At 44.4% G+C, this 16,199-nt stretch overlaps 1 protein-coding gene across 18 annotated transcripts in view, besides 3 other annotated features; it reads right to left on the minus strand.

The window, feature by feature from the left end:
- Positions 1-13,314, minus strand: part of HP1BP3 (heterochromatin protein 1 binding protein 3) — a 47,042-nt gene extending 33,728 nt beyond the window's left edge. For 3 of the 18 annotated variants that reach the window (NR_164850.1, NM_001372052.1, NM_001376795.1), the window contains exons 1-4: positions 13,202-13,314; positions 6,352-6,547; positions 5,819-5,918; positions 2,604-2,757 (exon numbers count right to left, since the gene is read on the minus strand). Coding sequence is in view for 16 of the 18 variants with exons in the window: in NM_001372052.1 (NP_001358981.1) it covers positions 2,604-2,757; positions 5,819-5,918; positions 6,352-6,447 (350 nt within the window). In the remaining 2 variants the exon portion in view is untranslated. Of the gene's footprint in view, positions 1-2,603; positions 2,758-5,818; positions 5,919-6,351; positions 6,548-12,192; positions 12,680-13,201 lie in introns of those variants that run through there. The other 15 variants (NR_164851.1, NM_001376793.1, NM_001376797.1 and 12 more) reach the window with 12 other exon arrangements.
- Positions 12,037-12,229: a silencer, noted in NCBI's record as "fragment chr1:21112523-21112715 (GRCh37/hg19 assembly coordinates)". NCBI's record gives its function as "represses an EF-1alpha promoter that drives an FKBP-Casp9 reporter gene in an ReSE screen in HepG2 liver carcinoma cells {active_cell/tissue: HepG2}" and the evidence as "EXISTENCE:reporter gene assay evidence [ECO:0000049][PMID:32094911]".
- Positions 12,490-12,949: a silencer, noted in NCBI's record as "silent region_375". NCBI's record gives its function as "represses an Ori minimal core promoter by ATAC-STARR-seq in GM12878 lymphoblastoid cells {active_cell/tissue: GM12878}" and the evidence as "EXISTENCE:reporter gene assay evidence [ECO:0000049][PMID:35858748]".
- Positions 12,980-13,429: a silencer, noted in NCBI's record as "silent region_376". NCBI's record gives its function as "represses an Ori minimal core promoter by ATAC-STARR-seq in GM12878 lymphoblastoid cells {active_cell/tissue: GM12878}" and the evidence as "EXISTENCE:reporter gene assay evidence [ECO:0000049][PMID:35858748]".

Here is a 16,199-nt window from a genome sequence, read left to right on the forward strand (position 1 = left end):
CATTTACTAGCTAGCTATATGATCTTAGTAAATGATGTGAGTCTTTCTCCTCAGCTATAAAACAGTAATATAGAACCAACTATTTCCCAAGGTGTTGCAAGAATTATAAGAGTATGTTTATCAAAACAATTTTGTGAGATTTAAAGCATTATGTAAATTTTATTCTGAGTATATAACAGTACTCTGTGCACCTAATAGGTGCATTAGAACATTTAACAACAGACGATAGGCTGGGTGCAGTGGCTCATGCCTGTAATCCCAGCAATTTAGGAGGCTGAGGAGGGAGGACAGCTTGAGGCCAGGAGTTCAAGCCCAACCTAGCCAACATAGTGAGACGCCATCTCCATTAAACACACACACACACACACAAACACACCCACACCCACACACGATAGTTGCTATAAATTCCACAGACCTTAGCTATACTTATGAAACTCAGATAAAGAATACCCTGAAGATTATAGCTAGAAGGTATAGTTATTACTAAGTTATTCTTTTATGGTCATGTGCTGTGTAACAATATTTGGTCAACAGACCACATATACAATGGTGGTCCCTTAAGATTATAATGGAACTGAAAACCTCCTATTACCTGGTTAACATGATAGCTGTGGTAATATCACAGCGCAGCACGTTACTCACTTGTTTGTGGTGACATTGGTGTAAACAAACCTACAGTGCTGCCAGTCATACAAAAATATAGCATATTGGCTGGGCGCGGTGACTCATGCCTGTAATCCCAGCACTTTGGGAGGCCAAGGTGGGCGGATCACAAGGTCAAAAGATTGAGACCATCCTGGCCAACATGGTGAAACCCCCGTCTCTCCTGAAAATACAAAAATTAGCTAGGTGTGGAGGTGCACGCCTGTAGTCCCAGCTACTTGGCAGGTTGAGGCAGGAGAATCGCTTGAACCTGGGAGGTGGAGGTTGCAGTGAGCCCAGATCGCGCCACTGCACTCCACACTCCAACCTGGGTGACAGAGTAAGACTCCATCTCAAAAAAAAAAAAAAAGCACATTACAATTATACATAATACCTGATAATAAACAGCTATGCTACTAGTTTATGTGTTTACTATACTATACTTTTTATCATTAGAGTATATGTTTTCTACCTACAAAAAAAAAGTTAACTGTAAAACAGCCTCAAGCAGGTCCTTCAGAAGGTATTCCAAAAGACAGCACTGTTATCATAGGAAATGACAGGTCCATGTGTGTTGCTGCCCCTGAAGGCCTTGAGTGGGACAAGATCTGGAGGTGGAAGACAGTGATATTGATGACCCTGACCTTGTGCAGGCCTAGGTTAAGGTGTGTGTATGTGTCTTAGTTTTGTTTTTTTATAAATATGAGGTCTCACAACGTTGCCCAATCTAGATTCAAATTTCAGGACTCAAGCAATCCCCCCACCTCAGCTTCCTAAGTAGCTAGGGCTACAGCTGTGCACCATTGCGTCCGGCTTGTGTCTTTGTTTTTGGTAAAGTTTTAAAAGTTTTTAAAAATAAAAACTTTTTAGTTTTAAAAGTTGCTAAAAATAAAAACTTTTTAGTTTTAAAAGTTGCACACAGTAGTCCTAGGCCTTTGCATTCACTTACCACTCACTCACTCACCCAAACAACTTCCAATCCTTTAAGGTCCATTCATGGTAGGTGTCCTACACAGGTATACCATTTTTTATCTTTTATATTATATTTTTACTGTACCTTTTCTATGTTTAAATACACAAATACTTACCGTTGTGTTATAACTGCCTACAGTATTTAGTACAGTAACATGCTGTACAGGTTTGTAGCCTAGAAGCAACAGACTATCCCATAAAGCCTAGGTATGTAGTAGGCTGTACCACGTAGGTTTGTGTAAGTACACTTTATGATGTTGGCACGATGATGAAATCGCCTAAAGATGTATCTCTCAGAATGTATACCCATTGTTAAGCAATGCATGACTATAGTTAAAAGCAATTTCTAACTGTTCTGACCAATTATGAAAAGAGTGGAATGAATACTATCAGCTCTCCTGCAAAAAAAAAAAAAAAAAAATTAAAAATTAAAAAGTAACTGCCATCACTTTATATAGATACACATCAATAGCAAATTTTACTTTCAGATTCTCAAAGCCAATTCTTCAACTGAATATTTCATCAAACATATATAGACTTTTAGGTCACACTACCAATGGCTTGATACAAATCAATGCCTTCTAACATAAGCACACAAAAACAACCCACTCCTGGCACAGAAGTAGGAATAAAATAGTGAAATGTCTTCTAGGTCAGATTTTTATAGTTATGTTTCATTTCTTATTGAAGTCTTGCCAATGCTTAAAATATCAGATACTCCCACAATAAATTACAAGCTCAAAAACACATTCCAAAGCCAATGACAAAGACTTTTGGATTATTCAAACCATTGTGTTCTGCTAACTACAGCATATTCTAACAGGTCAAACAACTATATAATAAACCTATTTCAAATGGTAATTCTAAAAATTAAATCCAAATAGCAAATACCTAGCATAAACCAATGTTATAACACTTTAAAACAATCTAATCTAAAGTCCTTTTACACATTCTTCAAATATAAATAGCAAGAAGACATAACTCCTTACTCCTTTTTGGTTTCCTCAGAAGACTTATTTTCTTCCTTCTCTTCATTCTCAGGTTCCCCCTTTGGCTGCTCTGCCTCACTCGAAGTAGCAGGTGGAGTTTCATTCTCTTGTTCTTCTACAGTGGAGACAGATTCCTCTGAACTTATGTCTGGTTCTAAAAAATCAGGTGAGCAGAATTGCATAAGCAGATGTATTCCAATCTGAGTCAATAAAAGGTAAAAGCTTATCTTATTAAACGGACCAGCCAAAGTCTCCAATTAACAAATGAATTCTAAAATGAAAATGAATGACCACTAATGCAGTTTTCTTACATTCTTTATGTCACTCAAGTTTCCTGGTCAGGTGGTTATTTATCTATTATTAGAAAAATAGACCAGGAAATTACATAGAAAGGAAAACTCATTTCATCCCCAATTGTTTAATTATTCTACTTTGCAATATTCATGAGACTCATAATTAAGAAACTAGCCATTTTATAATTCAACAGGCAAATCTCAGAGAATAAGTAATTTAAAAACTCATGTATTCTCCAAGAGGAATGACTGAAGCAAGAGTAGAAATATGAGGGGAACATGGAGGTCTGCTGCTATTTGTGCCTTTCCTTCACAGCATGTCTCTGAGTAGCTACTATAAAACACAGAACCCCAGGCACTGGTTATGCAGGGACTTCAGAGAACTCCAAAAAAAAATAAAAATAAAAAAAATAAAAAAAACATGAAAGAAAAAGGACTCCAGTGGCAAGCATATACTTCAAGCCAAAGTATATGCTTGAAGAATTTGATCATTTAAATTATGTGAACTAATTATTGCAATAATGACGAGGACTTCTTTGTGGCCTTCCCATAAAGAGAATTTTATTTATTTATTTATTTTTTTTTTGAGACGGAGTCTCGCTCTGTCTCCCAGGCTAGAGTGCTGTGGCGCAATCTTGGCTCACTGCAACTTCCACCTCCCCAGGTTCAAGCGATTCTCCTGCCTCAGCCTCCCTAGTAGCTGGGACTACAGGTGCGTGCCGCCATGCCCAGCTGATTTTTTGTATTTTTAGTAGTGACAGGGTTTCATTGTGTTAGCCAGGATGGTCTCGATCTCCTGACCTCGTGATCCACCCGCCTCAGCCTCCCAAAATTCTGGGATTACAGGCGTGAGCCACCGCGCCCAGCTATAAAGAGAATTTTAAAATGCCACTTCTTTCTTAAAACCAAATCACATAAGTACAATTCTAACACTTATACTAAGCGAGTGATTTCCATCCTCCTTTGGAATTCTCTGCTTCTAGAATTGTTTCCCATATGCTTAGGATGACAAAGTATTATGGATAGAACTTCACTATAACAATGGTATCTGGGGATAAAGATAATAACTACATTTAGGTTTTCCACAATAAAATGTATTTTTCATCATGATATATCTTTTACTGCCCCTCAACCCAACAATTTGACCTAAATGGCTGCATGGGCAAGAATTTACTATTAGTTAGTCATGTTTATTTACACTTTGTCTTATTCTAAAAAAGATGAAAAGCTAAGAATCATTCAGGGGTTTTACGGTAGTAAGACTTATAAATTTACATTATTTTCTCTTCTCAAGAATAACTGCTCAAGAGTTATGGCTTAATAAAGTTCAGTCACTCAACAGATATTGAATATGTATTATGTATAAGACTGTTTCCAACTCATTAAACTACTGTGTTTCTGTGTAAAACATAGAGTTTACAAAATTTAAAATAAGTGAAGTCTAATTTCTATGTACAAAATACTGTGTACAAAATGGGATAGAGAGAAGATTAAACAAACATACAACTTGTGAAGTGACACTGTTTCTTCATAAACTTCTGGTTGAGTTTTCTAATACTTTACATCTGAACCCTCTGGCATATATTCTGAAAACTGATGTTATTAGTGATTTAGTGGCTTCAGCTGGCTGTTAAACATGGATTAAGATGGACCACCAAGTGGCTTATCCCAGTGCTGGACAAGATAACCTATCTTCAACTTACCAGCACCCGTTTACTTTTTTAAATATTTGGATTCCCGTGTTTCTTAACTGCCTTAGGCCAGGGTGCCCAAATTGCTTATAGCATTCATCTAAGGATTTAGAGAAAAAATCCAGGCTCAGCCAGAAAAGAGTATATTGACTGGTTATTGATGTCTGCCCTGATGCACCAAGGATGCATGTATTTTCTACTCCTCTTTTTTTTTTTTTTCTTTTTTTTGGAGACAGTTTCCCTCTGTTGCCCAGGCTGGAATACAATGGCGTGATCTCAGCTCACTGCAACCTCTGCCTCCTGGGCTCAAGCAATTCTTGTGCCTCAGCCTCCTGAGTAGCAGGGATTACAGGCATGCACCACCATGCCCAGATAATGTTTATAATTTTAGTAGAGATGGGGTTTCACCATGATGGCCAGGCTGGTCTCGAACTCCTGACCTCAGGTGATCTGCCCTCCTTGGCCTCCCAAAGTGCTGGGATTACAGGTGTGAGCCACTGTGCCCGGCCCTCTATTCCTAATACATGCTGGTCAGCAAATAATTGATTCTAACAGCCACAACAGAGGCAGCACAGTGTGCTTATCCCTGAAAAACCTGAGATAAAAGGCAAGAGAGAAAGGAAAAAAGGGAAAAGATAAGGAAAAAAACCAAAAAGATCATGAGAAGAAAAATAAAGACGGGAAAAGGAGAAGAGGTGGTTATACATGCCATAAAGGAGCATTAGTACTCCATGTTGATGGGTCTATGTTTCTTTCCATTTGTTATGCTCCCACCACTGACTGGCCAATCTTCTCTCTACCAATACCTGTTATAGATCAACAGATCACCATTTGCTTCTCTGAAGGCCTCCAGATGATTTCTGGATGAACCTTCCACTGTCTATTCTAAAGGCCCACGTTTTCCATTCTCCCACACTGCACTGATCCCCATGACACTTTATGTCCAGAATGCTACTCTCTGGCCATTCCTGTCATCCCCAAACATTTTTGTTTTTAATTCCAACATAACATTTTCACCTTCCAAAAACCTTTATAGAGAAGATGAAACCTTACTTTGCCCTCATGGTCTGGCAATGACATACCAATAGCTACTGATTCTCTCTAAATGTTTCCCCAAAACACTTAGCCATGAAAAAAAAAAAAAAACAATTAAGTTCAAAGGAATTTATGGGACACTCCAAATTGCAGTATAACTTTTGATGTTTTAAGCTGTGTCACCATTTTACTTTACCTGGCTTTTCTTCCTCCCCTTCAGCAAGCTTGCTTTTGGGAGGAGTTTCCCGGGTAGAATTCACAGTTCGACGAATCGGCATGGTGCTATCTTCTACCTTCTAAGAAAAGAGATGGCCATAATCAAACATGCATTAAAAAATTCTCTTTTCTCTCTTTCTCAAAGGGCCTAACTGGGTGTCAGATGTAGGAGAATTCTTCAAGTCGACTCCAGGATCTGATGCAAATTACTTTTAACAAGTTTTTTTTGAAGTGAAATATGATTTTTAAGATACACTTTTTAAAGTATGTTATTTTAGCTTGAATTTCAAATGGAAACACATAATTATAGTTGATTTGCTATAAATTTAGAAGGTTGGAGGTTTTCTCAGGAATTTGAGGGGAAAGGGAAGATGAAAAGAATCTGATTTTGTTTCAAATTCACAACCTAGACTCCCCAAAGTAAGGGAAGGAACATGTACCAAGAAGGACCCAGCAGGGCCTGAAGTCAGGGATTGATCCAAGAGTGAGCTTCAAGAATGTGTCAGCCCCTACCTCACCTAACTTGTCCGCGTGGATCAGCTGAGCTCCTACTATAAGTGGGAGTGCCTTAGGATGGACGAGTTCACCTTGAGACGTATCAGTCGCCATTTTAAATAATTTCTAGGCCCGAGTACAGGTTACACTCTGAAGCCTCTGCTGTTAACCACAAGGATTTTTCCTAATGGTTTCAGTGTGGTGAAGAATCAACCTAAAGCACAGAAAAGACCTGGTGTGAAGATTAACAGAAACAAAACTAAACTAAAACGTCTAAATTTAATACACATCCAAAGGGAAAAAATATAACTATAAAATTTATAGGTAAGTGACAGATGATTTGGTTACTCAGAAAGATAAAACTACCAAAATATAGACTACATAAAGCAGCAACTAAGACGAATGCATAAGCCACGGCAGCTGTTGCACCTTCCACATGAACAAAGACAACAAGGGCAAGGAAGCTCCTAAGGAACCTAACCCCATCCCCTCCTGCCACCATCAGGAACTTAGAAGGATAGAATAAAGAGACTAAGGAACAGTTAGTCAAAGATCAGTTTACCAAGAGAAGGCTTTTGTTGTTACTGTTCTCGAAAGAGTCAGGAAAATTAACTGTAATCTTAAACTCTATCTCTATTAAAGTACTTTTTTTTTCCTTCTATTAAGGGAAAACACAAGGGGAAAAATACTGCTGAATAACATGACATTCTAATAGCTTCCAGACCCACAGAAGCAAATTTAGACCATCACCTAGGAGAATAAAAGTATGCTTCTAAGACTGTCATATTTTTAATGTAAGGAAAACTAGTACAGAAGAATATAATTAAATATTCAAAGATAAAAACCCATGCAGTCACCCAAGTTTACCTGATCACTAACACCCCCTCTTCCCCAAAAATCTCATCTGAGACTCAATGACATTTTATACAAAAATTCCTCAATATAAAAAAAAAAGACCACTTAAGTATCTAGATCTCTGTGCTAATGAACTATTAACAATGAGTAGGGAATGACAGTCATGCAACTTCTACATTAAGGTCTAACCTTGTCTAAGAATTGAAGAGCTTTCAACTTGGCAAGTAACAGTCCCAACCTACAACAACTAGGATAAATCCGGAAGATTGAAACAAAGAGGATGCATTCACACTTATCGGGAAAATATTTTTATGGGAACACCAAGAACAATACCAGACTTGTCAATTGTCAGTCAGCTGCAAGGAAATCTTTCAGTCAGCTGAAAGAATTCAGTGCAGTGTAACACACTCATACTTAGGGAACCAGAATATCCATTAATATTAAATTTTTTTTTTCTTTTTTTGAGACGGAGTCTTGCTCTGTTGCCCAGGCTGGAGTGCGGTGGCACGATCTCAGCTCGCTGCAACCTCCGCCTCCTTGGTTCAAGCGATTCTCCTGCCTCACCTTCCTGAGTAGCTGGGATTACAGGCATGCGCCACCATGCCCAGCTAATTTTGTATTTTTAGTAGAGATGGGGTTTCACCATGTTGGTCAGGCTGGTCTCGAGCTCCTGATCTCAGATGATCTGCCCGCCTCAGCCTCCCAAAGTGCTGGGATGGCAGGCGTGACCCACCGCACCCGGCCCATTTTTCTTAATGATAAAAAGCCTTATGCAAATCTGCTGGTATTTTTACATGCAAATATGATATGGAAATAAAACAATATCACAATCAGGTTATCCTTAGTAAAGTTATATTGCTAATGAATTTATCTTTCTTAACCCACGATAACACTAGCTAGGCTGAAAATGCTACCGTGAAGTCAACAACCTTCAGGAGTCTCCGTTCATAGGCATCTTTAAAAAAATACTTTCCCATTTGGTGTAGTAGCTCATGCCTGCAACCCCAGCACTTTGGGAGGCAGAGGTGGGAGGATCCCTTGAAGCTAGAAATTCAAAACTAGCCTAGTCAACATTAGACTTGGTCTTTACCAAAAGTAAATAAATTAAAATTTAAAAACAGGCCAGGTGTGGTGGCTCACACCTGTAATCCCAGCACTTTGGGAGGCTAAGGTAGGAGGTTCACTCGAGCCCAGGAGTTCAAGACCAGCCTGGGCAATACAGACGTTGTCTCTAAAAAAAAAAAATTAAAAATCAGCTGGGAATGGTGGCATGCGCCTGTAGTCCCAGCTACTTGGGAAGCTGAGACTGGGAGGACTGCTTGAGCCCAGAAGGTTTTGGATGCAGTAACCTGAAATCGAGCCACTGCATTCCAGCCTAGGTGACAGAGCAGAGCCTGCCTCAAGAAAAAAAAATAATAATTTAAAAAAAAACACAAAAGGGCCAGGCATGGTGGCTCACGCCTGTATCTCAGCACTTTGGGAGGCCGAGGCGGATAGATCACAAGGTCAGGAGTTCGAGACCAGCCTGGCCAGTATGGTGAAACCCCGTCTCTACTAAAAATACAAAAATTAGCCGGGTGTGGTGGTGCGCGCCTGTAATCCCAGATACTTGGGAGGCTGAGGCAGAAGAATCACTTGAACCTGGGAGGCGGAGATTGCAGTGAGCCGAGATTGTGCCACTGCACTCCAGCCTGGGCGACAGAGCAAGACTCCTTCTCAAAAAAAAGAAAAAAAAAAAAAAAAAAAGAAAGAAAAAACCCACACACACAAAAGATAAAAAATTAGCTGGTCACTGTGGCACATGCCCGTAGTCCCAGCTACTTGGAAGACTGAGATGGGAGGACTGCCAGTGTCCAGGAGTTCCAGGCTACAGTGAGCTAGAATTGCACCACGGCACTCCAGTCTGGGTGACAGAGTAAGACCTTGGCTCAATAATAATAATAATAATAATAAAAGTTGAATGAACAAAGACATCTGGTAGTACTTATGACTACATTCATTATGTGTGAAGAACACTTAAAACCCAGTTATTTGGGATAAATATTAAGAGACGTTAGGGCTGGGTACAGTGGCTCATGCCTGTAATCCCAGCACTTTGGTAGGCTGAGGCAGGGATCACCTGAGGTCAGGAGTCCGAGACCAGCCTGGCCAACATGGTGAAACCCCATCTCTACTAAAAACACAAAAGTTAGCCAGGCGCTGTGGTGTACACCTGTAGTCTCAGCTACTCAGGAGGCTGAGGGAGAAGAATCACTTGAACCTGGGAGGCGGAGGTTGCAGTGACCTGAGATCATGCCACTGCACTCCAAGCCTGGGTGAAGAGTGAGACTCCATCTCAAAAAACAAACAACAACAATTTAAAAAAAAAACAAAAAAAATAGAGATGTTAGAGCTCTGCATTTCCTTAGTAAAAGCTGTAGAACTTCAAAGGTTCAATCTGTAGTACTTTCTTTAGAATAGTTGGGTTAGTCCCAGCTACTCGGGAGGCTCAGGCAGGAGAATCACTTGAACCCGGGAATCCGAAGTTGCAGTGAGCCGAGATCATGCCACTGCACTCCAGCCTGGGTAACAGTGTGAGACTCTGTCTCAAAAAAAAAAAAAAAAAAAAAAAAAGAGATGTTAGCCTCAGCTCTGCATTTCCTTAATAAAAGTCAAAGTCATAGAACTTCAAAGCTTCAATCTGTAGTACCTGCTTTAGAATAGTTGGGTTAATTGGCTATTTAATAAACTCACTGTTCATTACAGAGCTAAGTATATGCAACGTTAATTCACACTGCCTTAACATCACTGTACCTATGTTTTTTGTTTGTTTGTTTTAAGACACGGTCTCACTCTGATGCTCAGGTTGTAGTATCACAGCTCACTGCAGCCTCAACCTCCCAGGCTCAAGCGACTCTCCCACCTTAGTCTCCCTAGTAGCTGGGACTACAGGCACGCACCGCCATGCCCGGCTAATTTTTCTCTTTTTTGTATCAACAGGGTTTTGCCATGTTGCCCAGGCTGGTCACAAACTCCTGGGCTCAAGCGATCCATCTGCCTCGGCCTCTCAACGTGTTGGGATTACAGGTGTAAGCCACTGCATCTGACCCAGTGTACCTATTAACTAAACTTTTTACTATTGCACTCTGAATGATCAAATTTTGAGGCTGCCACACTTGTTCCTGGCAGGGATCTTATCTACCTGGTTCATTTGCTGCATACCTGATGCCTAAGAACATACCAGGCACAGAATAGATGCTCAATTAATATTTGTTAAACTAAAGGATGAACAAATAAAACTTATTTGTGTTTTCCCTTTTTTTTTTTTTTTTTTTTGAGACCGAGTCTTGCTCTGTCGCCCAGGCTGGAGTGCGGTGGCGCGATCTCGGCTCACTGCAACCTCCCCTCCCGGTTCACGCCATTCTCCTGCCTCAGCCTCCTGAGTAGCTGGGACTACAGGCGTCCGCCACGACACCCAGCTAATTTTTTGTATTTTCAGTAGAGACGGGGTTTCACCGTGTTAGCCAGGATGGTCTCGATCTCCTGACCTCGTGATCCGCCCACCTCAGCCTCCCAAAGGGCTGGGATTACAGGCGTGAGCCACCGTGCCCGGCCTATTCATGTTTTTCATCTTGGTTTTTATATGTGCCAAAAATAAACAGTCTGAGTTTACTTGTGGTTTACATGGTCCTCTTATGAACATCAGCTTGCTTAAACTTAATGTTACAACAATAACAAATATTTGCTTTTTGTCAAGGGAAATGCTTAAATTAAATCGGTTGTTTATTTTGAGACAGAGTCTCAGTCTGGAGTACAGTGGCATGACCAGGGATCACTGTAGCCTCGACCTCCTGGGCTCAAGCGATCTCCTCCCACCTCAGCCACCTGAGTAGCTGGGACTTCAGGTATGCGCCACCACAGCCGGATAGTTTTTGTATTTTCTGTAGAGACAGGGTTGCCCAAGCTGGTCTCTAACTCCTGGATTCAAGCGATCCTCCTCTTTGGCCTCCCAAAGTGTTAGGATTACAGGTGTGAGCCACCATGCACGGCTTTAAATTATTTGAATGCAAGCAATAAAAAAAAGTATTGTAGAAATAAAAAGCCCCAAATTTCAGTTTTAATTTATTTCCTCTACATTAAGAGAAGGCTGTAGAAAAGTGAGGAGTTTAACAACGTATTTCAGTTTACTGATATCCTTGATAATATGCATTTTAGGGAAAGCACTATAATTTCACATTTTACCATAAAATATATGTAATACATGTCATTAGTGATGCGCTGAACACCTCACATTGTTCCCAATCTTAAGTCATTCACTACACTCAGATTTAACGAGTCATGTCACAAAAAGCATGCCTGTAATTTGACTGCTGACACCACTTGTTTTTCATTTTCAAATGTAAGTTATATAAGCAAACATATACTCAGTGTCTGTTTTGGGCATAGATACTAAGGACACTACAGTGTCTCATCTCAATAAAATCACAATCTAACTGGGTAAGGAGTTAAAACTTTCATCCGGAAATGAAGAGTTCAGTATACGTTCTCCACTAACTTCCAGCCCTACAATCTTCCAAGCAAGCTTAAAAACAAAGCCAAAACCAACCAACCCAGCAAACTTTAAAATGTTACTTCTATTTTGAAACAAATTACACTAAACTTTTGAGAAGAGCAATGAAAAATCAAAAAGCTAACAAGTTTTTTGCCTATGTCAGGTTAAACAAAATTAGAGCACCTTTCAAAAATGACACTAGTCACCTCTAATTTCACTCTAAGACAAGACAGCGTGCTCAAAAAGCCCCAGGCGATTTTTAGACGTTATTTCGAATTGGATTCTCACTTTTTAATGCAATGCAAAGTCAGGAAGCACAATAAACAACAGAGAGAACGTGCACGCGGATGCGGCAGCACAGTTCACCCGGTCCGGTCTCCGTACGGGAGACAACTCTTTCTCAAAAAGGTTAAGTGGCTGTCCCCGGTCACAGCTGTTAATGCAGTACCAACCCTCAGATCTGGGGCTCTCACCTCACCACTCCTGCCTCCATCTCTTACAAACGCTCAGATGGGCGACTGTAACTTTCTGACGACCTACCGAGGCACCGCTCTCATTCAAACCCCACCGCCTAAGGTGGCGAGTAACCAGTTCTACGTTTCCCACCGGGGGAGCGAGACTCAAGGCCGCCGTCGCGGAGCAGCAAAGCGACAGCCGACAGCCCCGCCCGCAGAAGGCCGCGGGAAGGACGGCAAGAGCAGCGGAGACAAAGCAGCGAGGCGAGGTAGCTACAGGCCACAGCGGCGAACGCGCACGGCGGGGGAGAGCGCGGGCCGCCAGCGAGGCGGGGAAAGCTCGGACCGCGGACACCGACGGATGAGGCTGGGGCTCGGCGCGGTGACAGTTCGGGGCTCACGCTCGGCAGGGACACCGCGGCGCCCGCCCCGGCGACGGAAGCAGCGGCGGAACGCGAGCCTCGGCGCTCCGCACACTCACCACTGGGAGCTCCGTAATGGCGGCGGCGGGGGCGGAGAACCCGGGGGGCGGGCCCGCCGCAGCCAGTCACCGCCGCCGGCATCTTTCGAACCGGCTCCGAAAACCGCTGAGGGAGTGGGGTGAGGGGAGGGCGCGGGCGGACGCCGGACCGCGGCGGGCCTCGGAGCATGCGCAGCCCTCAGCCAATCGGGGCGGGCAGAGGACGCCGACGCAGGCGCGCTGGGACGCAGGGTCGCACGGCCAGAGAAGAGCTCCCCCTCCTCCCCCAAATCCAAACAAAACAAGGGCGGGAGCGCGCGCGCCGGAGGGCCCCTGAGGAGGAGTCCACCAAAAGGGCAGGGGGCTAGGTCGCAGGAGAGAGGAAGGGAGCGGGGCGGAGCGGCCGGGTAAGGCAGACAAAAGGCGCCACCTCCGGGGACCCGGGCGCCCCGCCCCCTCCTCTCTGGGAGCGGCGTCGGCGCCCCGGGCGAGCGGCCTCCGCCACTCGCCTTCGGGGCCCAGCGAGCCCGCGCCCACTCCCCGGCCGCCTGTTCGGTCCTGCGTTACCTCTGCGTTCGGCCGGTCCTGGCGCCCGCGTCCCGCACGGCCTCTCGGCGCCGCTCCCGCCGCCGCTAGTCGCCTCCGCCACCGCTGTCCTCCAGTCCCAGCCGCCGAGCTCTGCCGCCCCGCCCCCCTACCCGCGGCCCCGCGCGCGCCCCCGCCGGCCCCGCCTCCCGCGCGTGGGGTGCGAGGGGGCGCGCGGGGACGGGCGGACGCCGGCGGAGCGCGGGGCGTCGGCGCGCGTTCCCGGCGCTGCGTGGTGGCGCCCATTGCCTTGGCGTGGCGGGGCGGTGTCGGTTTCCTCGGAGGGGCGCCGCTTTCCCCCGCTAACCTTCGCTTTCTGTGCTCTCCAGGGCAGTCCCTTCTCTTAACTGGGTTTCCGCTTCTGCCACTCGTCCGCCTTTAGCGGGGCTAGCCTTTCCCGCTTCTCAGTTTAGGCGCAGCTCAAGAGCAAACCTTTTTTTGAAGACCGTAGAATTGGAAAACTAGAGAGCGGAGAATTCACTGCCTCGCACTCGCTCCCATTAAGTCTCCAGACGGTACAGGGCAGAGTAGTGACTCGGGACTCAGAACTGAAAAGTTGAAACGGGCTTTCCGGGCTCCCTAATCCTCACATGCAGGGAGAGTTCCCCAGAATGAAAACCCTGAGATTAGAAGACGGGATTCCCTTTGAATTGTCATATTGCGTTGCTATCAGCGTACTTAAACAACGTACATACGAAGGAAAAGTACAGCTCTTCAAAGCTAGTTTGGAAAGATTGTTTTTAAAGTTTCAGGTGTTGGGGGACAGGGGAGGGACTGGGTAATAAATGTAAGGAAATACCAGTAGAATTGTCCCAAGCTTACAGTAGATGACCAGTACTCAAACGTATGTGCCAAGGTTTATAAAGACTTACGACACCATTTAAGCACTCACCCAGTCGTCTGGCCCTGCCATTAGCATAATTGTCTCACCAGCTTTCCCTGCCACAGCCACCCCACTCTATCAGTTCAAATTTCACAGCCAGCATAAAAAATTCTTTACGAGGTGTGCGTTATCATTCATATCCTGATGGCATTACCAGTCTTTAGTACTCTGGTGTCATATTCCAGCTGTTCAGAAGGGGTTTTGCTCTTTTATGCCATTCTTCATTCTGCTCACTCCCTTCGTTGTTAACGTTTCTGTTGTCTTCCTTTTCAAAGACTTCCATTTTTATGTATTCGTACATTTAAAACATCCTACCGTTCTTCTTTTACCCTAAAATGTCTTTAGACCCATCTCATGTAAGAAGCAGACTCAGATGAGAGCAAACTGGGAGATGTTTCCTCCTCCACAGATTTTTGCTTAAAACAACAACAACAAAACTTAGGCCGAGCATGGTGGTTTACGCCTGTAGTCCCTGCACTTTGGGAGGCCGAGGTGGGAGGATTGCATGAGGCTTGGGGCCAGGAGTTCGAGGCCAGCCAGGGCAACATAATTAGACCCCATCTCTAAATAAATAAATAAGCCAGGAATGGTGGCAAAGGCCTTTAGTCCCAGCTACTCGGGAGGCTGAGGCAGGAGGATCGCTGAAGCCGAGGATTTGAGGCAACAGTGAGCTATGATCACCACTGCGCTCCACCCAGAGAGAGCAAGACCCTGTCTCAAAACAATCTTGGTGGGGTACGGTAGCTCATGCCTGTAATCCCAGCACTCTGGGAAGCCTAGGTTCCCAAAAGGAGGATCTCTTTAGCCCAGGAGGTTTAAGACCACCCTGGAGCAACATGGAGAAACCCCCTTTCTATATATGATAAAAATATTAGGCCGGGCGCGGTGGCTCAAGCTTGTAATCCCAGCATTTTGGGAGGCCGAGGTGGGCGGATCACGAGGTCAGGAGATCAAGACCGTCCTGACTAACACGGTGAAACCCCGTCTCTACTAAAAATACAAAAAATTAGCTGAGCATGGTTGCACGAGCCTGTAGTCCCAGCTACTCGCGGGAGGCTGAGGAAGGAGAATCACTTGAACCCAGGAGAGGGAGGTTGCAGTGAGCTGAGATCGCGCCACTGCACTCCAGCCTGGGTGACAGGCTCCATATCAAAAAAAAAAAAAAAAATTAGCTGGGCGTGGTGACACACGCCTGTGGTCACCTACATGGGAGGCTGAGATGGGAGGGTCACTTAAGCACAGGTGGTCGAGGCTGTAGTGAGCCGTGATGATGACACTGCACTCCAGCGTGGGCAACAAGGTGTTTCAAAAATCAATCAGGCCGGGTGTCGTGGCTCATGCCTGTAATCCCAGCACTTTGGGAGGCCTAGGTCAGGAGTTCGAGACCAGCCTGGCCAACATGGTGAAACCCTGTCCCTACTAAAAATACAAAAATTAGCCGGGCGTGTGGCACGTGCCTGCAATCCCAGCTATTCGAGAGGCTGAGGGCAGGAGAACCCCTTGAACCCAGGAGGCGGAGGCTGCAGCGAGCCAAGATTGCACCACTGCACTCTAGCCTGTCCGACAGAGCAAGTCCCTGTCTAAAAAAAAAAAAAAAAAAAAAAAAAAATCAAGGCTGGGCGTAGTGGCTCACACCTGTAATCCCAGCATTTTGGGAGGCACAGGCAGGGGAATCACGTGAGGTCAGGAGTTCAAGGCCATCCTGGCCAACATGATGAAACACCGTCTCTACAAAAATACAAAATTTAGCTGGGCATGGTGGTGGGTGCCTGTAATCCCAGCTACTCAGGAGGCTGAGGGGGGAGAATCCCTTGAGCCTGGGAGGCGGAGACTGCAGTGAGCAGAGATCGTGCCGTTGCACTCCAGCCTGGGTGACAGAGCAAGACTCTGTCTCAAAAACAAACAAACAAAAAACAACAACAAAAAATCAATCTTACTTTGTTGTTCACCACATGAACACCAAAGGAGGAAAAATCCTGAAACACATTTTTTTCCACAAGAGAGTGCACACACACACACACGGGCAGGCATTAAGGCTACCACTTACTGAAGACTGAAGTTGAAAGTTTTCTACTCAGGAATCTGAAATTTTTATTG

The sequence above is a fragment of the Homo sapiens genome, chromosome 1 (genome assembly GCF_000001405.40).
Source record: "Homo sapiens chromosome 1, GRCh38.p14 Primary Assembly".
Lineage (NCBI taxonomy): Eukaryota > Metazoa > Chordata > Mammalia > Primates > Hominidae > Homo > Homo sapiens.